This window comes from Homo sapiens, chromosome 17 (genome assembly GCF_000001405.40).
Source record: "Homo sapiens chromosome 17, GRCh38.p14 Primary Assembly".
Classification (NCBI taxonomy): Eukaryota; Metazoa; Chordata; class Mammalia; order Primates; family Hominidae; genus Homo; species Homo sapiens.
The window spans coordinates 78484701-78509770 of NC_000017.11; the positions used below are offsets into that span (position 1 = coordinate 78484701).

Here is a 25070-nt window from a genome sequence, read left to right on the forward strand (position 1 = left end):
CCCAGCTACGACCCGTGTCTCCCTACCCACGTTGCAGCACCCCCCCCACCGCCCCACACCAGTCCTGCCCTACTGCCCTGGGGCTCCGCCTCTTCCTGCGCCCCGCCCTGGCCCCGCCCTCACCGCCCCGGGGCCACGCCTTCCCCTCCGGCCCCGCCCCGTCTAACCAGTGCCGGTGGTCCATGTGCTGCCGGATGAGGGTGTGCGGGGCCACCGTCCCATACTTGTCCACCTCGGGCATGTTCATGTCGTCGATGAAGTAGACGAGCTTCTTAGTGCCTGGCGGCCCGTAGTTCCTCCCCGATTTCTTCTCCAGCGGCTTCTCCAGCACCCCTAGAGAGGGCAGAGGGTCAGCTGCCCGCCTGCGCCTCCTGAGCCAGAGCCTGTTAGGTAGGGAGGGGCGCTACCTGCTTCCCCGGAGGACAGAAGGTGGGACCTGGCTGGGATCCAAGTTTACCAAAGGTACCTGCCCTGGGAGTGGCCCTTGAGGGGGCACCGGGTACAGCCCCAGGAATAAACAGAGCGATCAGAGGCGAGGGTGGCAGGAACCTTGCTCTCCGTCACCTTTGGGTCGCCTTAGATTGGCTGAGACACTCCCGGGGGACCTGCTGCCTCGACTGGCCATCAAAACCCCATCACCATGCCCACAAGGGAGCACCAGAAAGAGGGGTCCCGGCTGCTCCTCCTCTGTCTCCGACTCAGGAAGGAAAGGCCAGCGGGTGGGGCATGGGAAGTGAGGAGGTGCAAAGTGGCTAGTGAGTGCCTGGGCCTGCAGTGAGAGGGGACAGGAGGGAACGGGGACTGGCGGGGGGCAGCCGGGTAGGCAGGGCGTGGCCGGACCAGCCTCACCCTGCAGCATGGCTGAGGTCGTGTAGAAGTTGAAGGGCACAGCCTGCACCAGGTAGTTGTCCGTGTTCAGGCTTTCCAGCTTGTCCCCCATCAGCACCGACTTGCCCGTCCCCGCGTTCCCCACCAGCATCACCGGCCAGGACTTCTCCATGAGCAGGTCCATGAAGTAGCGGATGCGGATGGTTTCCGTGGTGTGGACCAAAGAGGCCTGGGGCAGGGGAGGGAAGGGGAGGGAGCTGTGATTCTCAGACACTTCTGCCTCTCGTGGGTGTGCAGGCCATGTTCTACCGAACAGGTCCTAATGTTGAAAATCGGTTGTGTTTGGACATTCCGTGCAGGCGTGTGGAGGGTACTGCACCGATTCCTGCCTCTAAATCACCAGTCGGTGGCCCTGCTTTGGGGACAGTTACCTGCAGTGGGACATCGGGATCCAGCTCAAAGGAGGGCACTTTATCTGTCCAGGGCAGGAACTTTTTTGTGTCAGGATCAATGTAGTAGTCAAAAATCGTTCCCTGCGAGGGGAACTTGATAGTCTTGAATTCGTTGATCCACCATTTACTGAACTCCACTCGATAATCCACAAGCTGTTGAGACACAGAAGTAAAAATCAGGGCCCAGCTAAGCAGGATGCTGAGAGACCCTGTGTGGGTGGCCGGGCCCCCCAGGTGCATCACCTGGTCCTGGAACATGGCGCCACCGAAGGCCCAGAAGCAGGTGAACACGAAGTACAGCTCGTACAGCTCCCTGGGGGAGTCGGGGGGCACGGTCTTCTCCGTGAGCAGGCACTCCAGCAGGTACAGAATCGTTTGGATCACCGTGATCTCCGGCACTGGCGTGATCTTCTTGAACCCAAAGCGCAACTTGTCCAGGCACGTGGGCAGGTACTTGTCAAAGAGGATCATCAGGTTGGCCTTCTCCGACTGCACCTTGCGCCTCTCGATCCAGCTGCTCACCACCCTGGGGGTGACAGGAGGCGCCGATGACACAGCCGCTGCTCTGGGTCTGCCAGTGTCCCTGCCTTGGTAAACGCCCCTCCCTACCTCCACCCAATTCTGCTGGGGCTGCCCTCAGGGTCACCATGCCTGCATGGCAATGGGTCCAAACGAGGGTGCCAGAGGGGCCAGTTGCAGGCCCTGAAAGGGTCGGAGGAGGATGCCAGGGTCGTGGGGGCTGTGCCCTCTCTGGGGTTGCTAGCTATGGGGGTGCTGTAGGTCTAGAACAGTTGGAAGCCATTCTTGCTACCACACGGGAAGCACATACCAAGGGCTGGTGGATGGGGCAGAACAGAAAAGGAGAAAGATCTCATGATGTCATGTGGGGGGCACGAAGGTGGGGACAGTAAGGGAGCAGAAAGGAGAGACAAGGATAGGAGCAGGGACATTTCATTACATCATCTGGACTCCTGAATCCAGCCATGCCTGAAGCACCCCTTGGTGCTTTTTTTTTTTTTTTTTTTTTAAGCTTCAGTTAGTTTGAGTTGAATTTGCCATGTTCAGTGTAAGAGTACAAATCAATACAACCAGCAATCCTTGAAGAGCCGTGCCAGACTGTTGGCCACAGACATCTCTGGGTGGCTCGTGTGGAGGTGGCCCACCACGGCGGTGAGGGGTGTGGACTCTGGGGCCTGACTGCCCAGGCTTGAGTCAGCTCTACCATGGCCAGCTGCTGCTTTAGGCAGGTTACTGCACATGCCTGAGTCCCTGGTTTCTCATCTGTAAACAGGGGTGATGTTTCCATGACCCTCATTTCCAAGGACTACATGGGCTGATATTTTTAAAGCTCAGAGAAGGGGGCCTGGTCCAGGGTAAGTGTTGCCAAATCAGCATCTGCTGAAAGCATCACTAGTGCCTGGCCCCCTCGAGTGCCAGTGAGCTCAGCACGTGCATCATTTCCAGGATGCCCAGGGCCTAAGCAGGAAGCTCCTGTTAACACACACAGCCAGCCTGCCCTGCGCTGACCGGCAGACGTGCCTCTTTAGACAGAGACTCATTTTTTTTCTTCTTCTGAGATGGAGTCTTGCTCTGTAGTGCAGGGGTGCGATCTCGGCTCACTGCAACTTCTGCCTCCTGGGTTCAAGCAATTCTCCTGTTTCGGCCTTCCAAGTAGCTGGGATCACAGGCGTGCACCATCACACCTGGCTAATTTTCATATTTTTAGTAGAGACAGGGTTTCGCCACGTTGGCCAGGCTGGTCTTGAACTCCTGACCTTAGATGATCTGCCCGCCTCAGCTTCCCAAAGTGCTGCGATTACAGACATGAGGCACTGTGCTTGGCCAGACACACACTCTTCTGTGAGTGTGCTCTGGGGGAGCTCCGCTTCTTCCTGAACCTCTATCACAAGAGAGAATTAAGAGCTGAACGTCTTTGCCGCATAGCACCCTGTATTATCCAGCGTAATAGAGTAAACCTTTCTATGTCCCTAAGCGAATCAGGGTGTCTCCATGCCTGTCGCAACTAAGAACTGAATTCCAAGTCCAGTTGGTCTTCAGTAGGGGAGATTGATTTGCAAATCTACGCAGAGGCTGCTGCTTTCTGCCTTCTACTTTGAAGATGTTTGTGTCAAAAATTTGTGATGCTGCCTTGGTAGGAGTCACTGAGTGCGGGTCGGTGTGTGTGCTGTCTCTGATATGCGTAGCACAGGCCCCAGGAGAGACACATGCTTGCGAGACAGGCCGACTTTCTCACCTCTGGTCCATACGGCTTCTTGCCCTGTCCCCAAGGCCATCCTGGGTGCATCCGGCATCCCTGCCCCTGGCAGTTGCCTATAGGAGGGCTGCTCCTGCTGTCTGGGGACCCTGTGTCTGCTTCTCGCCCATTTCCATTCTCTCCTCTGCCAATACTCAGGTCTCCTCCTCCTGCTTCCTCCAGGTCACTCCTTGGAGGTGTCCAGTTCCTGCCTTGGCCCACGCTGCCTTCGTTTCTGGCTCCCTCTTCTCTGCTCCCATAGGGTGTCCCCCTGAGGACTCCACGATCCTGTCTTTTTCCTGTCCCCGTGTCTCAGCAGCTCCTACCCAGGCTTCATTTCAGTTCCCCGGACATTGTCTTTGCCTACCCTGAAAACTCCCACACATGGTACAGTGGGTAGGATGGTGGTGCTACAAAAGAATGTCCACCCAGAACCCAGAATGTGCCCTGATTTGGAGAAAGGGCATTAGCAGATGTCATCAAGGATCTTGAGACAAGATCATCCTGGATTTAGGGTGGACCCTGAATCCAATGACTGTGTCCTTATAAGCAAATGGGAAATTTGGACACAGACATACAGAGAAGGCCACGTGGAGACAGAGGCGGAGATGGGAGGGGTGTGTCCATAAGCCAAGGGATGCCAAGGACCGCCGAGAGCCCCCAGGAGCTGGGAGAGAGGCCTGGGACAGGTTCTCCCGCAGAGCCTCAGAGGGAACCAGCACTGCCTACTCCTTGACTTCTGGCCTCCAGCACTGGGAGAGGATAAATGTCTGTTGTTTGAAGCTGCCCCATTAGTGGTCATTGTTTCAGCAGCTGGAGAATGCTGTATAAGCAGGCAAGTGTTGCTGGAGAAGCCGGCACAGAGGCACCCAGGCTCAGCAGCTCCTGGCCCTGTCCCCATAGGGAACATTCCACTTGGTATCCCTCTCAAACCCTGGCCACACTGTGCTGCCTGCCTCCCAGCAGAGGGTCTCACTTCCCACGCAGAGAGCAAAGAAGTGCACCAGCATGAACTCCGGAAACTTAATTTTCTCTGCCTATAGACTTGCATGCACCTGAAAACAGCCATGCCTGCATCCCATGGCCAAACATCATTCTTGTCTCGACAAATACTACAAAGCTTCATTCCTCTTGTTCCAGCCCTACCCTCCAGCACTCCAAGGCAGGACTCGCCTCACTTCTGGCGCCTCCTGCTGCCTCCTCCATACCTCATTGCCATCTGGCTCTGCCCTCAACACGCCCTGAAGCTGTTCTCCCTGAGTGATGGAGATGCGCCTAGCTCCCAAATGCAATGGGAACTCTTCTGTCCTTGGCTTGACTCTGGGTGCCATCCTACTGAGGTGAATGCTCCCTCCTGAAGCTTTTGTTGCTGGGTGTCTGGGATGACGCGTCCTGGGTTCCCTTCTGCCTTTGGTTTGTTCCACCTGTGAATCCCTCACATATTCTTCTTCCTCCCCCACGGTGCTGGTTTTTCTCAGAAAACCAGCTTTTTTCATCACTCTCTACATCTTTCCTGGAGAGCCCAGCTCCCCAGCATGGAATATCCTGGGGTTGGACACACATGGCAGGTGTGCGAAGTACTGGGTGGGCGGGAGGGTGAATGGATGGGTGAGTGGGTGGGTGGGCGGATGGATGGATGGATGGATGAACTGTGACCTCCAGCCAAGACGCTCCTCTGGAGCCTCTTGCCTCAGGAACACCTCACTGGGATTTCTGCCTAAGTCCACGCAGGACATTTGCACAAAGCTGTCATTTCTATGTCCCCAGGAAATCCCTTACTCTGTCAATCACCAGCCACGTGTCCAAGCCCGAAAATATGCCTCTGGAATCAATATCAAGTCTTCCATTTCTCCAGATTTCAGATATTTCTTAAACCCATCCCTTCCTCTCTGATCCCTAGAGGCCCCCATCTTGCTGGCATGACCAGCTGCTTTTCCCTCGTCACATTGGAAAGGGACACTTGCACCTTGGCCCAGCATCAGCGCCTTCCCGTCAGGAGCAGCCTCCGCCTTTATGCTCTGGCCAGGAGAACCCGACCACTGCCCATCCGGCAATGCCCCACTCCCCACCATGCCCTGTGAACGCGGGTTCTTGTCTGGTGTGCTTCTCTGTTTTCACCCCTTAGAGGCAGCCTGACCCTTTGGATGGCAGCCCAAACTTCAATCACCTGGGAAGACTTCCCACCTCCACAGAGGCCAAGACCTCCCTTCCCACACCAGCCCTTGTTCCCTGGCACTTTGTGCAAACATCCGTTTGCTCAGCTGCCCTGCCTCGTGTCACTGTGAATTTACACCATTTATTCCCAGGTCTCTCACCCCTTCACTGCTGTGACACTGGTGCCTGGTGAGGGCCTGATACACAGTTTGTGACATGAATGATGAATGAATATGCAACTCTGAAACAGGCCAACAAGTTCGTTTTTCCCTGCCGAGGTTTGGAACAGGAAAGCCAAAGCCCCACTCACGGGTTCCATCCCAGGTCGGCTGGGTTGATGTAGAGGATGCCGGCTCTGGAAACGGTGGCTGGGGTGGCCGTCCTCAGGTGGCTGATTTCGAACACCAGCCTCATGGTGCGGTTCAGGGGGATCCGCTCGTTGCTGGCCAGGGTGAGGACCTAGGAGGGGGACAGCAGCCCGTGGGGTCCTAAGGCGACACCTGCCATCCCAATGGTGTTCTGGGGTGGGGGTTACTCGGAGCAAACCTCCGAGCAAGGAGGAGGGGCCCAGGCCAGCCCTGCCACCCCTGGCCCACAGCCCTAGTCCCTTGGCCCAGGGCTTCTCTGCCTTCCCTGAATCCAGCAGCCTCTAGACGCCCACACCGTGAGGGCTGCAGCATGGAGTCAGGGCTGCTTTCTCAAACCATCACCCCTCCCCATCCTGGAAAGTATTGTGTTCCTTCCTGCATCCAACTGAGGAGCATTTTTAGAAAATGGCTTCTAGACAATTCTACATAACCATTTCTGCTTCCCAGGCCTTTACTCTGAACCCATCCTGCTAAAATGTAAGGTGAGGCGCATGCAAAACCACAACGCATGTGACAAAGTCTCACGACAAGGTGCCCCTCACTCATAGCTTCCTGTGGAGATCCAGACACGCCACCTGCGCCAAGCCTGGCATGCAGGGCCTGAGTGCTCCGTAGGCGCCTCCCTGTGAGCCCCCGTTGTCCCTGCCTTGGGTGGCCTTGGGGCTTAGAGTCCAGGGCCCGCGAACCTTGTTGTCATCCATGACTGTGTTGAGAGACTCGATCCACATGGGGTCTATGTCTCCGTCAAGGATGATCCACTTGGGGCCGTCATGGGTGATGTTGGCCAGGTCTCGCATGATGGTGGAGAACAGGCCTGGGGGAGGCGCGTGGTATGACCCCGGGCCCTTCACTCCGGCCCCATTCCAGTCCCCACCAGTCCTGACCCTGGCCTCTCTCTCTGGGAGGGAGCCTGTCCCCTACTTCAGAGGAACAGCAGAGGCCCTCGGGCATGAGGTGCCCAGGCTCCCTGCCCTCCGTTCTCTGTGGCCTCCCTCCTACGTGCCCTCTCCATGCCTGAGGCCCTGCCTGTCCTCCTCCGACCCTGCACCCTCCCTGTCAGCCCCTCTTTGTGGCCCTGGCTGGCTCAGTTTTTCCAGGCTCAACATCCCACGGGGCGCAGCACCTGTGCACCCAGCTCTGTCCATCTGTCCACTCACACGCTCAGCAGAAGTCTGCGGAGCACGCTTCATGCGTCAGGCATGGAATGGAGCAAGGTGGGGGCTGGGGGTACAGAGCTTGACTTCTAGTAGGGGAAGTGAGCTGTACATGCAGAAGCCAGCGAAGGGGGACAGGGAAAGCGGGTCAGGGGTAGGGCCACTTCTGATGGGTAGGGTGCGGGGGACAGGCTAGGCACAGCCCTCCCCTAGGCTCCTGGTCAGGACCACCCTGCTCCCGCTGACTCCTCCTCAGCTCTCGCAGCTCCTTTCTGCAGCCCACTCTCCAACGTCCGGAGTTCCTTTCATAAAGTGCAAACCCAGTGACGCCACCTCCTGGGGGAAGCTTCTCCCCAGAGCCCACCGACTGAGGCCAGGGCTCCCCGGGCAGCCTCCAGCCTGCATGTCTGGGCTCCCATGCACTCCTCACGGGTCACACCTGTCCTTGCTCTGCCCTCTCCCCTTGGCCTGCTCGGGGCAGGCCTGCAGTCCTCACCGTCCCAGCTCCTGTGGCCCCCATTCCTTATCCCCCAGCCCGGGTGCTACGTGCCCACTGCTCCCCATAAACTTTGTTACCATGGTGCCACCATTGCAGGCCACGTGCCTGTGTGCCCCACCCTAGCCTGGGGAGGCTGGCCTTCCACGTGGGAACGGCTGAGCACACGCTCACTGCACTGGACCAGGAGTGCCCCTGCAGCCTGTCCCGGGACCACCCTCGTTACCATCTTTCCATTCCCTGGTCACTGGGTTGATGATGCCAAAGAGCTCGTCGCAGGTGACGGCCTTGGGGTCCAGGTCCACGGCGACCGGCTTCCTCTTCAGGTTCTGATAGGTCTTGTTGAGGGATTTGAGGACCTGGCGAAGGTGGGGGTCACTCACGTGTGACTCCATGTTCCTGGCACATCCTGCCCCACTAGCCTCAGGACCATGGGTGGGCCTGGATGGTTTTTTTTTTTTTGAGATGGAGTTTCACTCTTGTCACCGAGGCTGGAGTGCAGTGGTGTGATCTCAGCTCACTGCAACCTCTGCCTCAGGGTTCAAGTGATTCTCTTGCCTTAGCTTCCCAAGTAGCTGGGATTACAGGCGCCCATGACCACACCCGGCTAATTTTTGTACTTTTAGTAGAGACAGGGTTTCACCATGTTGGTCAGGCTGGTCTCAAACTCCTGATCTCAGGTGATCAGCCCGCCTTGGCCTCCCAAAGTGCTGGGATTACAGGAGTGAGCCGCTGCGCCCGGCCCTGGATGCCTTTTATGAACCACCAGGCTGAACCCTTCTCTGGATCACGTTTGCTCTGGAGACACACAGGTGAGTTTACACCCCCCAACCATGGCTGAGGCGAAGGAGGCCTGGGTGATGGGAAGCTAACTGTTCACTGTGCGTGTCTGCAGCCCGCAGAGAGCTGCTTGCCCTAGACTGTGCGAGGCTCTGAAAACATTCACATTCCTTTCTTCCTCATGGTACAAGTAATACGCACTCACTGAAAAACCATCTAGGAAAACTCCCCACAATCCTCCATTCAGGGAAAAGGAGCTTTAAAGACACGGTTGAGGACATTTCCTGTATGTGTATGTCCGAGTTCCTTTTTAGGAAACTGGGTCCATGCGGCCTCTGCCTTTTAAAACATCACTTCTGGTGAGCTTCCCCATGTGACTGGCGGTGGGAGTGATCTCAAACAATAGCAGAAGGGTCCAGCCTGTGGGCCTCTGGCCGGACACTTGGCTGGCATGGAATTTTCCACATCACAGACATCAGTCACATCCGCCACCACCCTCCACATGTCACCACTCCCTAGGCCATGGCAGGTGACAGGAGGGCGATGGGTTGGGCCGGCCACAGGGACAGGGAGACAAGTGACTGACGTCAAGGAGAGAAGAGCAGGAAGACAAGGAGGAACAGGGAGGGAGGCCTCACCCAGGGATCAGGGATCAGGGGCTGTGGCAGCTCCTCCCCTCCTCCTCGGCCCCCAGCTTCCTCCCTGGCCCATGACTCAGGCCGGAGGGCTCCCAGGATGTACTGGGTTGGGGTCTCCGGGGTGGCGGGGAGTGATGGAGGGCCGACCCTTCGCCCCAGCCCTCCCCCACCATGCCGGATCCCTGCAAGGTCCCTGGAGCGGGTGACACACCTGAGATTTGCCGCTGCCCGCATTCCCGACGATGAACACGGAGTGGCGGACCTGCAGCAGCTCCTCCAGCTGCACCACCTTCAGCACGAAGCTGTCCTCCGCCTGCAGCTTGAGCTCCACGATGCTCTGCTTGATGATCTGGGGAGACATGGATGAGGCTGGGTGAGGAACTGAAGCAGCTTTTCTTTCTTCTCGCTGGGAGGCTGGGGGGCTTCCTGCCCCGTGGGGGAGATGATAAAGGCGCCCTTGCCCTCCGATGCACGTGCGTCTGCAAGTTCTGCTGTCAATGCCGAGAGTTGACATAGCTCCACCGCGACCTCATGCAGGGGGTCGGTTTGCCTGAAGCCCCCCCAGCCTCAGTTGAGAGAGTGACCTCCCCCAGCACTGACAGGGTGGGGCTGGCCAGGGCCACGGAGGCAGCTGTGGCTCAGAGGTCTCTTTGTAGCATCGGGAAACGTGCGTGTGTGACACGGGTCTCCACCCGTCCAACATCAGTGGGAAGGAAGCCCCAGCCAGGCAGGCTTCTCCGGACAGACCTGAGACCCAGGAGTCCCGACCTTTTCAAAATTCAGGTCCCGTTTCCGAGGCACGTCCAGAGCCGGGAAGAGGTCCCCGATCAGTCCCATGAATACGGGCAGGTCGTCTGTCACAATCTTGGGGATGTTGAAGTCTCTCAGCGCCCGCATGAGCACCTGGTCCTCTGCCCGGCTGGGGTCGCCCCTCTTCAGGGAGCCGGCCACCACCAGCACAGACTTGATGGCTCTCAGGCCCCAGTCGTAATGATCCTGCGGGCAGTGGGCACAGGTGGGCAGACGTGAGCTCACCTTCCTGTGGCCAGCAGGCAGGTCTGGAAGCCAACCCTGGCTGCTGCCCGCATCTCAAACTCCCACCCACACCCGCCGTGAGCTCCAGGACACACACACCTGCTTCGAGAGCAGCTCCTTGCACAAGGTGTACAGGGTGATGAACTTCCTGGCCAGAAGGCGGGCTTCCAGAAAGCCCTCGGCCATGAGCATGATCTCACATATCAGTTCGAAGTCGGGGACGACCATGGCACAGGGCCTGGGGAGGTCAGCGGTGCCTGTGGGCTTCTGCCCACTCCCTCCCCAACCTACACCCCTGCCTGTCCCTCTTCACCTAGGAGAGCACACCTCGACTGCCAGGTAGACCACAGCAGAGTGTTGAACCTTCGGTCCTGGAGCCGGGCTCCCAGCCCGCCTGCTCCCTACTTCCCTCCTCCTCCCACATCATCCACTGGGTGCACCTTCAGGGCCCCTCCTCTGAGAGCCACCCCAACCCCCCAACCCTGCTTTCCATCACTGTGTCCCAGGTGCGGTCCTCCCACCCAGGGGAAGACAGAGTGCTTTCTAAGGAGGCCCTCGCCTGCCTCATCCTGGGAGTGTTTTTTTTTTTTTTTTTGAGACAGAGTTTTGTTCTTGTTGCCCAGGCTGGAGTGCAATGGTGCCATCCCGGCTCACTGCAACCTCCGCCTCCCAGGTTCAAGCGATTCTCCTGCCTCAGCCTCCTGAGTAGCTGTGATTACAGGCATGCACCACCACACCGAGCTAATTTTTGTATTTTTAGTAGGGACGGGGTTTCACCATCTTGACCGGGCTGGTCTTGAACTCCTGACCTCAGGTGATCCACCCTCCTCAGCCGCCCAAAGTGCTGACATTACAGAAGTGAGTTACTGTGCCCGGCCATCTTGGGAGCTTTTGATGACTTCTTCCCTCCCCAGCTTGCCCTCTGCCCCTCCCCTCTGCCCACTCCTTGGCACTGGGACGTTGCTGTGGCCGGCCTGGCTCACTGCAGCCACTCACTTTCACCTGGGCCACGTACCTGAATAAGGCTTTTAGGTTCTCAGGCAGCTCCGCGCGTCCGGCGTACCCAGGGTTCATGGTGATGAAGATACCGACGGTGGGAATGAGGCCTATGATCTCTCCCAGGAAATTGAATGCTTTTTTCTTGGCCCGAATTGCATCCTGGACACATTTTACCTGCACGGTTGGTGACACAGACATGTTAGCATGGAAATGGCCAGCTTCCACACACCAGAGAGGCCTTCACATATGTTAAAGCATGAGGCTGCGAATTTGCGCCTGCAAATTCAAACCTCCTAGTTTATTTTTTAAATTAAGCCTTTTATTTTTGAGAAAGTTGTAGATTTGCATGCCATGTAGGAAATAATACAGAGGGCCAGGCACAGTGGCTCACACCTGTAATCCCAGCACTTTGGGAGGCTGAGGCTGGAGGATGATTTGAGCCCAGCCTAGGCAACATAGCAAGACCCTGTCTCAATAAAAAATACAAAAGACAGTGATTGGGGGGAAGAAAAAAAAATACAAAGGCAATTCTGTGTACTCTCTGCCCCATGTAGCCTGATGGGAACATCTTGCCTAATAACAGTACCAGTCACAGCGGGGGTGGTGGGCGGGGGGAGGGTGGGCGCGACACTGAGGCCAGCATTGCTGTCACCATGGGGTGACAGCCCTCTTATAGCCACACCCCTTCCCTCTTGCCCCCTTCCCTCCGTTTGACCCCTGGCAACCATGTCCTTTTTTTCTGTGATTTGGTCATTTCATGGATGTTATATAAGTGGAATTGTATCATACACGATCTTCCCAGATGGACTTTTTTTTTTTTTTTTTTTTTTTAAGACTGAGTGTCACTCTGTTGCCCAGGCTGGAGTGCAGTGGTGTGGTCTCGGCTCACTACAACCTCCACCTCCTGGGTTCGCCCCATTCTCCTGCCTCAGCCTCCCGAGTAGCTGGGACTACAGGCGCCCGCCACCACGCCCGGCTAATTTTTTGTATTTTTTAGTAGAGACAGGGTTTCACCATGCTAGCAAGGATGGTCTCGATCTCCTGACCTCGTGATCCGCCCGCCTCGGCCTCCCAAAGTACTGGGATTACAGGCGTGAGCCACCACGCCCGGCCCCCAGATGGACTTTTATCACTCAGCAGAATTCTCTGGAGATGCACCCAGGCTGTTGCAGGAACCAGTAAGTATTTCAACACCTTGTCCCTGCTGAGTTGGGTTCCACTCCCAGCCCTTTTCTGTCCTGTTACTACTCTGGCAATGACCTGTCAGAGGACTGGTTAGCGGCCACCTCCGTATCAGACAGTCTTGAAGGCCAACTGTCAGCTACGAGGTTAAACCTAGAGCATCAGGGGCCGTTGCCTGCTTGAGGTCTCCTCTGGAAACCTGCAGAAGACAGCTGTGTCTCTCCAAGTCACCACTTGAGGGGGCCCAATACTCGCGGTAAAGCTGCTCCCAGCACCTGCCTTTCCCTGTCTTCCCCAGGACAGCCAAGTCCTGGTGCCCTGGTGATCCCAGACACCCCCATGCCCAGTCTGCTGAGCGTGCAGCTTGTCCCCTGGCAGGACTGGGGCCTTTCGGAACAGCACCGCTTCCAGCTAGGCCAAGCCTCTCCTGTGGTCTCCATTGGAGCCCGTGAACATTCAGTGCCCAGAGTAGGGGCTATATAAATATTCTGGGGTTTGTTCATGGACGTCGGAGGTGCTCAGCAGCTCTGCTCCTGTGCTGGGGGCAAGGGAGAGGGTCCCCACGGTAACAGCCAGCACTGCCCATGGTTTGGGGTCCCCATTCTCTTGGTCATGGGGCCTCCAGCCCTGGGGCTGGGGAATGACTGAGGCAGAGGGAGCATAAGGAGAGGAGGAAGCAGCCACCCCAGGCACCTCTAATCCTGCTGGCAGACCTGTGTCACCAACACCGCCTTACAGGTTAGAAGGTGGAGGCAGAGGGAGTCCACATCACTGCCAAGCCGAGAGTCAGGGGTTAAGTTGGTGTATAAAGCAGGCTCTCAGCCGGGCACAACGGCTCACGCCTGTAATCCCAGCAGTTTGGGAGGCCGAGGTGGGTGGATCACCTGAGGTCAGGAGTTCAAGACCAACCTGACCAACACGGAGAAACCCCATCTCTACTAAAAATACAAAATTAGCCGGGCGTGGTGGTGCACGCCTGCAATCCCAGCTACTCGGGAGGCTGAGGCAGGAGAATTGCTTAAACCCGGGAGGCGGAGGTTCAGTGAACCGAGACTGTGCCATTGCACTCCAGCCTGGGCAACAAGAGTAAAACTCCGTCTCAAAAAAACAAAACATAAATAAATAAATAAATAAATAAATAAATAAATAAATAAAGCAGGCTCTCCACCCAGGTTGTGGGGCTTAAGCAGCCCAGGAGGCATTTGCACGTCCACACCCCACATGCTCCTGGTCTATCCTGTGGTGGGAGGACCTTGACACCGCCAACGCCCTGACTTGCATTTCCTTTTGGAAGAGCACAATTGTCCCAGGCCGCTAGGTCGGCCTCCACTTACCTTAGACAGCCCAGTGCTTCTCAACCCCCAGCATGCGTCAGGATCACCTGAGGCATTTGTTTAAAATGCAGAAATGCTCCTCCTAACAAGTGGGGCCCACGCTGGAGATTTTAACAAGCATCAGTGGGGGTGGGGCGCTGGCCCAGGCTGCTCCCCAATCCGAAGTCCCTGCACCCAGGTCGCCCCAGCCACTCCGCTGCACGCTCTGTGCCCCGGCATGGTTGTTCCCAAAACACACGGGCGCATTTCCTCCCTCCTCCTCTTCCTCCCTCTCCCCCTCCTTTCTTTCTTTCCTGCCATTCCCTTTCAGCACCTCCTATGCCCAGCTCCGCTGATACCAATAACAAAGCACTTTGTCTTTCTTTCCTAAGCAAAATTAATTATTCTCCCACCTGTATTTTGTTACACGTTTGCTACCATACATGTAACCTGTAATCTGATTCTGTTTTCAATGTGTTTGCCTAACCAGGCTTTGGGACCCTGGAGGGCAAGAGCTCAATGGCACCACACCACCCTTCGGTGCTTGGAACGTTGCAGAGAGGCAAGGAGGGTCTATCTGGCGTGTGAGGTCACAGGAAAGCTGACGAGCCAGTCACCCGACGTGACCCCGAGGCCGCAGGCAGGGGACTTTACCTGCACGGCAATCACAGACAAGACTTCCACTGAGATGCGATTAAACTCGTCAAAGCAGCCCCAGGCTCCCGTCTGGGCCAGGCCCTTGTAGATATTTCCACAGGACTGGAAAGGGCGAGATGGAGAAAGGAAGAGCTGGGAGGGTGACAGGGAGGGCGGGCGCTGCAGGGGCCTCCCCCTGCCTCTTCGGCTGTGTTTTCTCTTCCCAAAGCTTGCTCAGGCCCCGGTGCATTGGAGCCTTCCGCAGGCCAGCAGGCAGGTCAGCTTACTGCCCAGGGTAACACCGTGGAGGGCTGGACACGAGGAAGAGCCATCCTTTCACCCTTGCCTCCCAGACCCCAGGATGGGGACTTCCTGGAGTCCCTAATAAGGGGCTCAGACAAGCACATTTAAGTTCTAAACCTTGCATGTTTTCTCAGCCCTTTTCTTTCTTGCGTGGAGAGGAGAGGGAGTCCTCTAAGGCGGGATGGGGGCACGTCTAGCAGGCCGGAGGCTTTCCCTCAAGACATCTGTGTCTCTCTAGGCCCCACCTGGGCCAATCAGAAGGACTCGTCCCATCTACACCTGGGATTCCAGGTGGATGTTAAGTCCCTTCCAGGGAGATCCAACTTCAGATTTCACTTTTCTAAAATCCAGGAGGCGGATGTGGACTGCGTGGCCCTGACAGTGAACATGGGCTGCTGGTCCCATCCTCAGCCTCAGGAGGGGGCCCCCAGATTGTGGGGCTCAGATCCAAGCTGGGGAGGGGAGACCCTCTGCAGGCCTAGGGTCCAAAACTCAGGGTTCCATCCCCCTTGCCTTCCCGTCTTGCAAGAGGCTGCTGCAGCCTGGAGCTCCGAGGTATCCCCTTCCCCTCCCTGGCCTCCTGTGAGCCGACGATGTCCTGTGCAGGCTCTAATGACTGATGGGACCGGGCCAATCCCCTGCTCCCCTCCCAAACCCACCTGGACACTGCTTGTACCCCACCCCATGCTGAACCATGAGGGAGGTGCTCACCCCTGTGCGGAGTCCCCAGTTCGGGGCAATCTTAACAACTGAAATTGAGAGAGGGTCACCTCCAGGGCAGGGGCTGGGGCAGGACATTTGGGGCTGCGTCTGTCCACCCTGGAAGTCTTTCCAGAGGGACCACCTGAGGGGGATGCTACCAGCAAGTGGGGGCCCTGGCACCTCCTCTCCAGTGCCATTCACAGGTATCCAGAGATCTGGAGTTTACTGTGGGGCCTCGGAGGACAGGGTGCTAGGATCTGCTTCTATAAAAGAAGACTCTGGGTCCCTCCTCCGGACCCCGGCCGCGTACCTTGTAGTCCATCTGCTCGGAGCAGTTGAAGACGTAGACCATGGTGCCCAGGGCTCTGCCCAGGTCCTTGGTCGTCTCAGTCTTGCCGGTCCCAGCGGGGCCGGCAGGGGCTCCACCCATGATGAGATGGAGGGACTGGGTCAGGGTGATATAGCACCTGCAAGTGACCACAGGTAAGCGTGTGTGCCAGCGACCCCATGGCCTCCCTGCTTTTATTTTTTTGAGACAGAGTCTCACTCTGTCACCCAGGCTGGAGTGCAGTGGTACAATCTTGGCTCACTGCAACCTCTGCCTCCTGGGTTCAAATGATTCTCATGCCTCAGCCTCCCAAGTAGCTGGGACTATAGGCGCCCGCCACCATGCCCGGCTAATTTTTGTATTTTCAGTAGAGATGAGGTTTTGCTATGTTGGCCAGGCTGGTCTCGAACTCCTGACGTCAGGTGATCCACCCACCTCGGCCTCCCAAAGTGCTGGGATTACAGGCATGAGCCCCAGGAGACACATGGGAGAGGGCAGAAAACCTTCAGGTGTGAAGGAGGAACCACAACCGTGGAGCAGAGGCAGCCCAGGTGCCTTTCCCACCTGTGGCATTCAGGGAGGTGGGCACTGCTACGACAACCAGAGTCTGCTCATGAGGGTCCATAAAACATGACCCCAACTCAGCAGGCCCACAGAGGGGTGCAGGAACTCTCCCAAGGCCACACAGCCGGTGCTAGAACAAGGACACAGTGGTAGAACTGAATGTGAACACAGGTCCACCTGACGCAAATGCCCAGTCCTTCCAGCCTCCACAGCTGACCTCCAAGTCGGACAGTTCCAAGAATCATGCGGAAGGGACCCACCAAGAGCACATGTGAGTTACTCAGGGACGGGCCTCACCTGTCAGTGAGTGGGGTGATGACCAGCCGCGGCGTGTTGCCCAGATACTCATAGGAATACTGGATTTGGGCATCGCAGATGTTGGCAAAGCAGTGTCGCTTCTCTTCGTCCCAGCGATGCCGGAGCTGGGCCTGCCAGGTGAAGGCCTGAGAACTCTCCACCTGCAGGATGAGCCGGAGCTCTTGTTGCCAGGTGGAATACAAGAGCTAGGGCTGCCTAAGGAAGGCCAGCATGCCTCCAAGGCCGGTCCCCTGCTGCCCAGGGAACCCTCCCTGGCCCTCTTTCCCCCTCCAGCACCCACATCCAACTGTATGGCCACCCTCAGTGGAATCTCGCTACAGAATGGCACTTCCAATGGGCGGGCACCGCTCATCTGACTGCTGTGTGTTGCTCACCAGGGGTGAGTCCGGGCAAGGAGGTTAGGAGGCAGCTGCAGCCAGCAACAGAGTCAGTGCCCCAGGAAGAGGAAGTGGCAGGGTCTGAAGTCCCTGAATGCACTGCCCTGAACCCGGTGTCCCCTTGCCCTTCCCCTGGCCCCTGGGACAGGGGCGCTCATGCCTTGGCCACGATCATTTTGGCCACCACGTCCCGTGCGTGCACATCGATGGTGCAGATGGTCATGATCTTCATCCTGTCGCCAGCGTTGAGGTTCCCCATGAGCAGCGTGATGAGTACGTTCAGCTGGCTAATCTGCGGGGGAGAGTGCCTTCGATGAGACACCACGGGTGCCCACATGCACTGGGGGGTCTTGTGGCTGGGTGCCCACAGCTGCATAGGGAACACCACCATGCTTTTGTTTACAGTAATGAAAAACAAGAGCGCCCTCGGTAGGCCCCAGCCAGGCACTGGTTTCACCAGGGTGCGGCCCTGATGGGACACCTGGCAGTGGCTAGCATGGACGTAGTAGAAGGAAATTCAAGGCCACGAGAGAGGGTGGATGAGAAGCAAAAACAGCTGACTTTAACGCCATCCAGAGTCTGTATATTTTTACATATAAATCAATTATACACACACAGAGTAACAGGTTGCATAAGGGCCCTGCAGTGTCATGCTTGGGTTGTGGAATTACAGGTAAATTCTCCTTCTTTTCAAGATGATCTTTTGTTTCCATATTTCTAACCAAGGACATTTTTTTTTTAAAGACTCTCAGTAGCATCTGCCAATTTTCAGGCGAGAAATCAAAGTACATATTTCTGAAGGTGTCTGTTACTCGTGGGGAGAGGTGCCTGGGGCTGTGGTGCGTGGCTGTTATTTGGCCTGTGGAAACGACGGTTTTGCGGGGCTCAGCCTCCGAGAAGAAGCCGCTCCAGGTACTCGCCCGGCAGGTTTCAGAAGGATACACGGGCCCATGCACCTGCTTTTTAAACAAGTTTTAAAAACGTAACTAACTACACACTAGTAACACACCTGCTTTTTGTTATAATCTCTGATAGCGTTTTCATAGCCTTCCTCCAGCCTGGCAAATGCCAGGCCCACCTCGGTCGTCCACCAGATCTGGGTGCAAGTCAGGGCCACCTGAAAGTACATACCCCCCATTGCCCACGCAGTGAGCGATCGCTGGCGCCTGCTAACGCAGACATTCCTGCTGAAAGCTTAGATGGTTTTCCAGGGGACCACAGTTAACAGCGGAGCCCATGAACGCAAAGAAACTCGCCCCTTATCTCAGCCACGAGGCGCCGCCGAGCCCCCACCCGCCTCAGACCTGGGCTGGGTAGTCCAGGATCCACTGCTCCCTCGGCTTCTCTTCGTAGGTCACCACGGCCTCTGGGATTTCGTGCCGGAGGGTAGAGCACATTCGGTCCAGCACTCGATTCAGCCACACTTCCACCTGGGGACGGGAGCCACGGTGACCAATACAGCCATGTGTGCCTGCCTCTAGTTCCAATAATTTTGTTTGTATTTGTTGTAAAGAAAAACATTTCTCATCATCCTCATCCCAGGGGCAGACAGGTCAAGGATTTTACAGAGCAGTAACAGTGACACACCTTTTTTTTTTTTTTTTTTTTTTTTTTTTAAGATGGAGTCTTGCTCTGTCACCCAGGCTGGAGTGCAGTGGCATGATCTCGGCTCATTGCAAGCTCCACCTCCCGGGTTCACGCCATTCTCCTGCCTCAGCCTCCCGAGTAGCTGGGACTACAGGCGCCCGCCCCCACTCCCGGCATTTTTTTTTTTTTTGTATTTTTACTAGAGGTGGGGTTTCACCATGTTAGCCAGGATGGTCTCGATCTCCTGACCTCATGATCCGCCCACCTCGGCCTCCTAAAGTGCTGGGATTACAGGCATGAGCCACCACGCTCGGCCACATATTTTCTTCTTAAATTGAGATAGGATCTCGCTCTGCTGCCCCGGCTGCTGTGCAGTAACTGCAGTCCTGGCTCACTGCAGCCTCCACCTGTGGGCTCAAGCGATGCTTCCACCTCAGCCTCTCAAGCAACTGGGACTACAGGTGTGCACCACCACACCCGGCTAATCAAAGACTCACCTAAAAAATGTGGCTGGGGTCCAGGCGCAGTGGCTCATGTCTGTAATCCCAGCACTTTGGGAGGCTGAGGCGGGTGGATCACCTGAGGTCAGGAGTTCAAAACCAGCCTGGCCAACATGGTGAAAACCCGTCTCTACTAAAAATACAAAAATTAGCCGGGCACGGTGGCAGGCACCTGTAATCCTAGGTACTCTGGAGGCTTAGACAGGAGAATCACTTGAACCCGAGAAGTGGAGGTTGCAGTGAGCCAAGATCGTGCCATTGCACTCCAGCCTGGGCGACAAGAGTGAGACTCCATCTCAAAAACAAACAAACAAACAAAAAACAAATGAACAAAAAAAAAACCATACTCACAAAAGTAACTGCCACTGGGAGAAAAAAACCCTCAAGTGGACATGAGGGTAGATTTTTTTTTTTGGAGATGAAGTCTCACTCTATTACCCAGACTGGAGTGTAGTGGCGTGATCTCGGCTCACTGCAACCTCTGTCTCCTAGGTTCAAGTGACTCTCATGCCTCAACCTCCCGAGTAGCTGGGACTACAGGTGTCTGCCACCACACCTGGTTAATTTTTGTATTTTTAGTAGAGACCAGTTTCGCCGTGTTAGCCAGGCTGGTCTTGAACTCCCGACCTCAGATGATCCGCCCACCTCGACCTCCCAAAGTGCTGGGATTATTGGCATGAGCTACCGCGCCCGGCCAGATTTTTCCTTTTAACTGGAAACACAGTGCAGGCAGGCCTCGCTGTGGTCTGCAGTTCTGTTTGTAAGGGGTAAGCCCAGGAAGCGAATCTAGACAGATGCTGTCACCACCCCACCCACCCCACCCACCCCATCCACGTAGAGCAGGCCACGTGTGTGCTGTGTTCAACTCTTTGAACCTCAGGTTTTCTCGAGATTTTTTTTTCTTCTTCCTACAACTGATTTACCTCTGCATTGTATTTTCCTCAGGCTGATGTTAAAATGGTTTCTATTGCTTGATCAATAGTTGGGTAATGAGACAGGGGAGGGGGCAGCCCGGAAGTTTTCTGACGGCAGAAGGAGCCCGCCCTGAGCCGGGGGACGCGCTTGCTGGGGAAGGAAGAGGCTGTGGAGACCACTCTGAGTGGTGGGCTGTGCAGCCGATTATTTCAGACAGGTGATGGGAATTGGCAGTTCAGAGATGTGCAACCCCTTTTAAAGCAGTCCCTTTGGCAAAAGCCATGGAAAGGATTCAATGATATTAACAGGGCTTTTTTTTTTTTTTTTTTTTTTTTTTTTTGAGACGGAGTCTCACTCTGTCACCCAGGCTGGAGTGCAGTGGCGCGATCTTGGCTCACGGCAACCTCTGCCTCCCGGGTTCAAGCGATTCTCCTGCCTCAGCCTCCCGAACAGGGCTTTTCTCCCGTCCTTTCCCCTCCCCTTTCTCCCTAAGGATACACTGGTGCTATATGGGTAAGGCTGGGCTGGAAATTCTATAAAGAGGCCCATCCCTTAAGTGTTTTCTAGAGAGGGAGAGGAGAGGAGCAGGGGCGGGCTGGCAGCTGCACAGGGTGCTGGTTCTCCGGACATCGCCATCTGAGGGCGTGTGGCCCACACGCGTGCTGCACCCTTGTCCTGGGTTCCCTGTGTGGTGTGCGCACACACTCACCTGCCCCGAGAGGTCGCATTCCTGATCAAAAACCATGTACTCGTCCTCCTTGCTGTACATTCCCAGGCCCACCTTGAGAGGTTTGTCACTGGCATCGAGCCGGAACTTCAGTTTACACAGGCTATCGAAGAGTTTGGACAGGTGGCGGCTCACCTGGGAGGAGGCAAGAAGCGGGAATTATGCAACGGGGGATTTGAAAGGCATGTGCGTGGCTTGGGCTTTCCGTGGGTGGTTTTAGGCATCGTTCTTTTTGGAATATACTCCCCATCTTTGATCAACGTTGACTAAACATGACTAAGTCAACAAAAGGAACCAGCGAAGACTGCTCTGAGTCAGGACACAGAAACCAGGCCAGGAACCGCAGCCCTTCTAAGCCAAACATCCATTCTGGAAGATTTCTTTTTGGTGGGGCATGGTGGCTCACACCTGTAATCCCAGCACTTTGGGAGGCCGAGGCAGGTGGATCACCCGAGGTCAGGAGTTCGAGACCAGCCTGACCAATGTGGAGAAACCCCATCTCTACTAAAAATACAAACTTAGCCAGACGTGGTGGTGCATGCCTGTAATCCCAGCTACTTGGGAGGCTGAGGCAGGAGAATCACCTGAACCCAGGAGGCAGAGGTTGTGGTGAGCCGAGATCGCGCCATTGCACTCCAGCCTGGGCAACAAGAGCGAAACTCCATCTCAAAATAAAAAAAATTAATAAATAAGATTTCTTCTTTTTGAGAAGGTTCTGTCCCAGATCCCAAGCCACACACTCAGTCTATTCTTGCATATCCCTTCTTCTTGTGTAACCTCTAACCTTACGGTCAAAATAAAATGCAAGCGCTTTCCCTTCACCTAGTTAATTTTTTTTTTTTTTTTTTGAGACAGAGTCTCACTCTGTCGCCCAGGCTGGAGTGCAGTGGTGCGATCTTGGCTCACGGCAACCCTCTGCCTCTCGGGTTCAAGCAATTATCATGCCACAGCCTCCTGAGTAGCTGGGATTACAGGTGTGAGCCACTGTGCCTGACCTCTTTTCTCTTTTAGAATAGCCCCAAGGAGGCACCTGTTCCTTGCTCTTGGGACCCTGAGATTTAACCAGCTGACCAGAGCAAGACCCACTGAGAGGTGTGTCTTTCAGAAACAGTGTCTTACTAAGCCTCTGGCATACGACCCATTTTCTAGAAGGGGAAAATGAGGCACAGAGAGGCAAATTAACTTCTCAAAAGCCAGGCCAAGTGCAGAGCAGGATGTGAGGCGAGTCCTGCCACGTTTCTGCCATGGCTGGGGACCCCAGGGCAGCTTCTGGTGCAGAGGGCCTCCTGGAGATGATGGGGCACGTCCAAGGACACTTACCCCACCCTAGGGCGGTTGAGGTAGAGGTGCCCACCTGGGGTCTGGCATGATGTTGGCTTAAACACCGGAATGCAAGGGGCCCCGCCTACCTCCACGGGGTCATTGCCATTGGAGAGAATGTCCAGGAGGTCAGCCGAGGAGACAAAATAGAACCGGGGGAAAGCCAGTCTTTTCGTCTCTAAATACTCTGCCAAAGCCTTTTCACAGATGGCCAAGCTGGGAGGAAGGAAGGAAGTAGAGGAGGCCGGTGACCCTACTCTGTAGGGATGTCTGCCACCCACCCTGTCGGCGAAGGAAACTGATCATCCTGGAGATGCCTGGACTGCTGTTCACAGGCCTGGTTTAATTCAGAATCTCCTACCGGAGGCTCTCGTTTCTTTGCCATCCCCTGACCTTGTGGGCACTCCTAGGCAAGAGGGAGCATCATTTATTCTCCGGGTCATTGCTTCCTTCAAGGCCAAGGCATCACGTGGTGGGATGAGGCCGGGGAGTGTGTGCTCCCCAGGGAAAGGCAATTGATTAACCCAGGACCCATGGTTTTGCCCTGTCCTGGCCAGCAGGCTGCACAAGACTTAAGTTCCGTCAGACTTAAGACTTAGGGAATCTGCACCACTGACTCCCCTGGTCTGGATAGGTGTGAGCCGCACCTCTTCTTCAGGGCCTCCAGTTTATTGTAGAGGCCGGGTTTGCTGGTGGCTTCCACCACGTTGGGTGTTTTCACTGCATCTTCCATCAAGGCCTGGGAAGAGAAGGGGATCGCCAAGGCATTAGGGATCGCCACACACAGTCATTTCTGAAGTGCGTGGGAACCACCGGGCTGTGCTCACCTTGAATTCCTGGTTGATGTCGTCAAAGCGCTGGGAGTCCCCCGGGAGCTGGGTGCGGATGTCTTCGGAGCCGATGAAGATGCTCTCCAGGTGGCTCCAGGTTCGCTGGACCTCAAACCAGATGGAGATGACGGAGTCCGCCGTGGACAGCTTCTGCTGCCAGCTTGTCACCTCCTTCAGGAAGTGGGCCAGGTACTTGGACATCATCAGGTTCTGCAGCTGCACCTGGTTGTCCTCCAGCGTCTCCACCAGCACCTCGCTGGACTTGAGCATCATGGTGCCTGTCCGCGGGTGCGGCTCGTGCTGGAATTCCATCATGCTCCAGGTACTGTCCAGGGCTTTCAGCACCTTTTGGGGGAACAGAAAAATAAGGTCACTGAGCATTTGGCATGCAAAGCTCAGGCAGGACCCAGAGTTTCCAGGACATAGACTGAAGCTCCATGATCAGAAAGCAAAAAGGCTCAAACCAACGTATTCACAGGAGCCAAAGGCAGATCCAACCCGAACCTTCATCCCCCAATGATGGATGCATGCGATCTCTGTCCATATAATGGAACATAAGCCACTAAAGGAATGAAGTACAGACACCTGCCACAACGCGGATAAACCTGAAGACCCTAGGCTGAGTGAAAGAAGCCACACGCTCAGACCACATAGTGCACGCAAAGGAGATCAGAACGTGCCACCCCAAAATATGCCATCCTGCAATTGACAATTTTGAGTCAGAGGCACTTGAAGGGCAGCAGATGCAGGACTCTCTCTCTGAGCCTCATGCTGTTCCTGGGAAGCAGGAGATGCAATTCCCAGGTGAATGATGCTCTTCTGATACCAGAATGAAACGATCATTCTCATCACTAGGATGGGAAGTGGAGGCGGAAAGAATCCTGTCTGCTCAGACCCTTTTAGAACAGCTCTCACCTTCCAGCCTCTTACACAGATTACTTTTCTACAACTTACGCTTTCTGCAACTCAGTACTTAAGTGTTCAACTCTAACTGTGTTTTGGAGTCTTCCTTTCCTCCCATACCACAGAAAACTTGGATTTAAATAATTTGCATACTTTTCTCCTCTTGATCTATCTTACGTCAATGGAATTCTCAGACCCAGCTGGAAAAAACCCTAAAAGCATAGTGAAAATGTTGCCTCCTCTACCTATGATGCCATTCCTATGAAAGTGTGGAAGAGGGGGATCTATAGAGGGGGAAAGTGGATTAGTGGTTGCCTAGAGCTGGAGATGGGGACATGTGAGAGGAAAGGGGTAGGGGATGATGGCTAAAGGATATGGGTTTCTTTTTGAGGTGATGAAAATATTCTAAAATTTGTTAATTCTATTTTTTATTTTTATTTTTTTAAAAATTATAATTTTTTTTAGGGACAGGGTCCAGCCCAGGCTGGAGTGCAGCAGCATGATCACAGCTCACCGCAGCCTCCATCTCCTGAGCTCAATTCATCCTCCCACTTCAGCCTCCCAAGTAGCTGGGACTACAGGTGTGTGTCATCATGTGCCCAGCTGTTTTTTTTTTTTTTTGAGATGGAGTCTCACTTTGTCACCCAGGCTGGACTGCAGTGGCGCGATCTCAGCTCACTGCAACTTCTCCCTCCCAGGTTCAAGCGATTCTCCTGCCTCAGCCTCCCAAAGCGCTGGGATTACAGGCATGCGCCACCACGCCTGGCTAATTTTTGTATTTTTAGCAAAGATGGGTTTTCACCATGTTGGCCAGGCTGGTCTCAATCTCCTGATCTTGTGATCCACCCACCTTGGCCTCCCCAAAGCGTTGGGATTACAGGCGTGAGCCACCGTGCCCGGTCCCCCGCTAATTTTTTTAAATTTATTTATTTTTTTTGTAGAGATGGGGTCTGCCTATGTTGCCCAGGCTGGCCTTCTCTTGAACTCCTGGGCTCAAGCGCTCCTCCTGCCTCCCAAAGTGCTGGGATTATAGGCAGGAGCCCCCACCCTCTGCTGTTGAATATGTGCTGATTACACACTTGTAACTATGCTAAAAGCCACTGCACACTTTAAACAGGCGAACTGTATGGTATGTGAATTATATCTAATAAAGTTTTTTTGTTGTTGTTTTTATTTTTGTTTTTAAAGCAAGTCAAAATGTGACAATTCAAACTCACAAAACAGGCTGAGGAGAGAGATTTGAACCGCAAAAGGAGTTTTCCTGGATACTGGAACTGCCGGTAGCCAGTGGCGCATTAACAAGTTCAGGTACCAGCTGGGGGCCATCCCCCACCCATCCCCAACCCTCCCGTCAGCTGCGGAGTCAGAAGAAACAACTGACGTCCATGGAGGAGTCAGACGGGACCA

General features: G+C 55.3%; 1 protein-coding gene and 1 long non-coding RNA gene across 6 annotated transcripts in view, besides 6 other annotated features; one reads left to right on the forward strand and one right to left on the reverse strand.

Moving 5' to 3' along the window:
• The window catches only part of DNAH17 (dynein axonemal heavy chain 17), a 153700-nt gene that overhangs the window by 61004 nt on the left and 67626 nt on the right, over window positions 1-25070 (reverse strand). For all 5 annotated transcript variants that reach the window (XM_024451013.2, NM_173628.4, XM_011525416.3 and 2 more), the window contains 21 exons: window positions 22758-23105; window positions 22578-22669; window positions 22020-22146; window positions 20593-20745; window positions 18186-18311; window positions 17891-17998; window positions 17042-17173; window positions 16484-16644; window positions 15605-15761; window positions 14308-14412; window positions 11175-11332; window positions 10259-10397; window positions 9893-10120; window positions 9336-9473; window positions 7933-8065; window positions 6743-6870; window positions 5999-6147; window positions 1524-1806; window positions 1260-1433; window positions 850-1057; window positions 168-333 (listed from right to left, as the gene is read on the reverse strand). In XM_024451013.2, coding sequence (XP_024306781.1) covers window positions 168-333; window positions 850-1057; window positions 1260-1433; window positions 1524-1806; window positions 5999-6147; window positions 6743-6870; window positions 7933-8065; window positions 9336-9473; window positions 9893-10120; window positions 10259-10397; window positions 11175-11332; window positions 14308-14412; window positions 15605-15761; window positions 16484-16644; window positions 17042-17173; window positions 17891-17998; window positions 18186-18311; window positions 20593-20745; window positions 22020-22146; window positions 22578-22669; window positions 22758-23105 — 3413 coding nt within the window. The remainder of the gene's footprint in view (window positions 1-167; window positions 334-849; window positions 1058-1259; window positions 1434-1523; window positions 1807-5998; window positions 6148-6742; window positions 6871-7932; window positions 8066-9335; window positions 9474-9892; window positions 10121-10258; window positions 10398-11174; window positions 11333-14307; window positions 14413-15604; window positions 15762-16483; window positions 16645-17041; window positions 17174-17890; window positions 17999-18185; window positions 18312-20592; window positions 20746-22019; window positions 22147-22577; window positions 22670-22757; window positions 23106-25070) is intronic.
• Window positions 13-242: a silencer, noted in NCBI's record as "silent region_9069". NCBI's record gives its function as "represses an Ori minimal core promoter by ATAC-STARR-seq in GM12878 lymphoblastoid cells {active_cell/tissue: GM12878}" and the evidence as "EXISTENCE:reporter gene assay evidence [ECO:0000049][PMID:35858748]".
• On the forward strand, window positions 210-18356 carry DNAH17-AS1 (DNAH17 antisense RNA 1). Its single transcript, NR_102401.1, has 6 exons — window positions 210-462; window positions 4675-4874; window positions 8387-8518; window positions 9314-9497; window positions 12156-12336; window positions 14144-18356. It is a non-coding gene; the product is annotated as a DNAH17 antisense RNA 1 (long non-coding RNA).
• Window positions 8350-9549: an enhancer, noted in NCBI's record as "BRD4-independent group 4 enhancer chr17:76489132-76490331 (GRCh37/hg19 assembly coordinates)". NCBI's record gives its function as "activates an origin of replication core promoter dependent on BRD2, P300/CBP, MED14 and CDK7 cofactors, and independent of BRD4, by STARR-seq in HCT116 cells {active_cell/tissue: HCT116}" and the evidence as "EXISTENCE:reporter gene assay evidence [ECO:0000049][PMID:35650434]".
• Window positions 12690-13238: an enhancer, noted in NCBI's record as "H3K4me1 hESC enhancer chr17:76493472-76494020 (GRCh37/hg19 assembly coordinates)". NCBI's record gives its function as "activates a minimal SCP1, AML or CMV promoter by ChIP-STARR-seq in naive H9 embryonic stem cells {active_cell/tissue: H9 hESC(naive)}" and the evidence as "EXISTENCE:reporter gene assay evidence [ECO:0000049][PMID:30033119]".
• Window positions 13239-13787: an enhancer, noted in NCBI's record as "H3K4me1 hESC enhancer chr17:76494021-76494569 (GRCh37/hg19 assembly coordinates)". NCBI's record gives its function as "activates a minimal SCP1, AML or CMV promoter by ChIP-STARR-seq in naive H9 embryonic stem cells {active_cell/tissue: H9 hESC(naive)}" and the evidence as "EXISTENCE:reporter gene assay evidence [ECO:0000049][PMID:30033119]".
• Window positions 22086-23285: an enhancer, noted in NCBI's record as "MED14-independent group 3 enhancer chr17:76502868-76504067 (GRCh37/hg19 assembly coordinates)". NCBI's record gives its function as "activates an origin of replication core promoter dependent on BRD2, BRD4, P300/CBP and CDK7 cofactors, and independent of MED14, by STARR-seq in HCT116 cells {active_cell/tissue: HCT116}" and the evidence as "EXISTENCE:reporter gene assay evidence [ECO:0000049][PMID:35650434]".
• Window positions 22401-22902: an enhancer, noted in NCBI's record as "H3K4me1 hESC enhancer chr17:76503183-76503684 (GRCh37/hg19 assembly coordinates)". NCBI's record gives its function as "activates a minimal SCP1, AML or CMV promoter by ChIP-STARR-seq in naive H9 embryonic stem cells {active_cell/tissue: H9 hESC(naive)}" and the evidence as "EXISTENCE:reporter gene assay evidence [ECO:0000049][PMID:30033119]".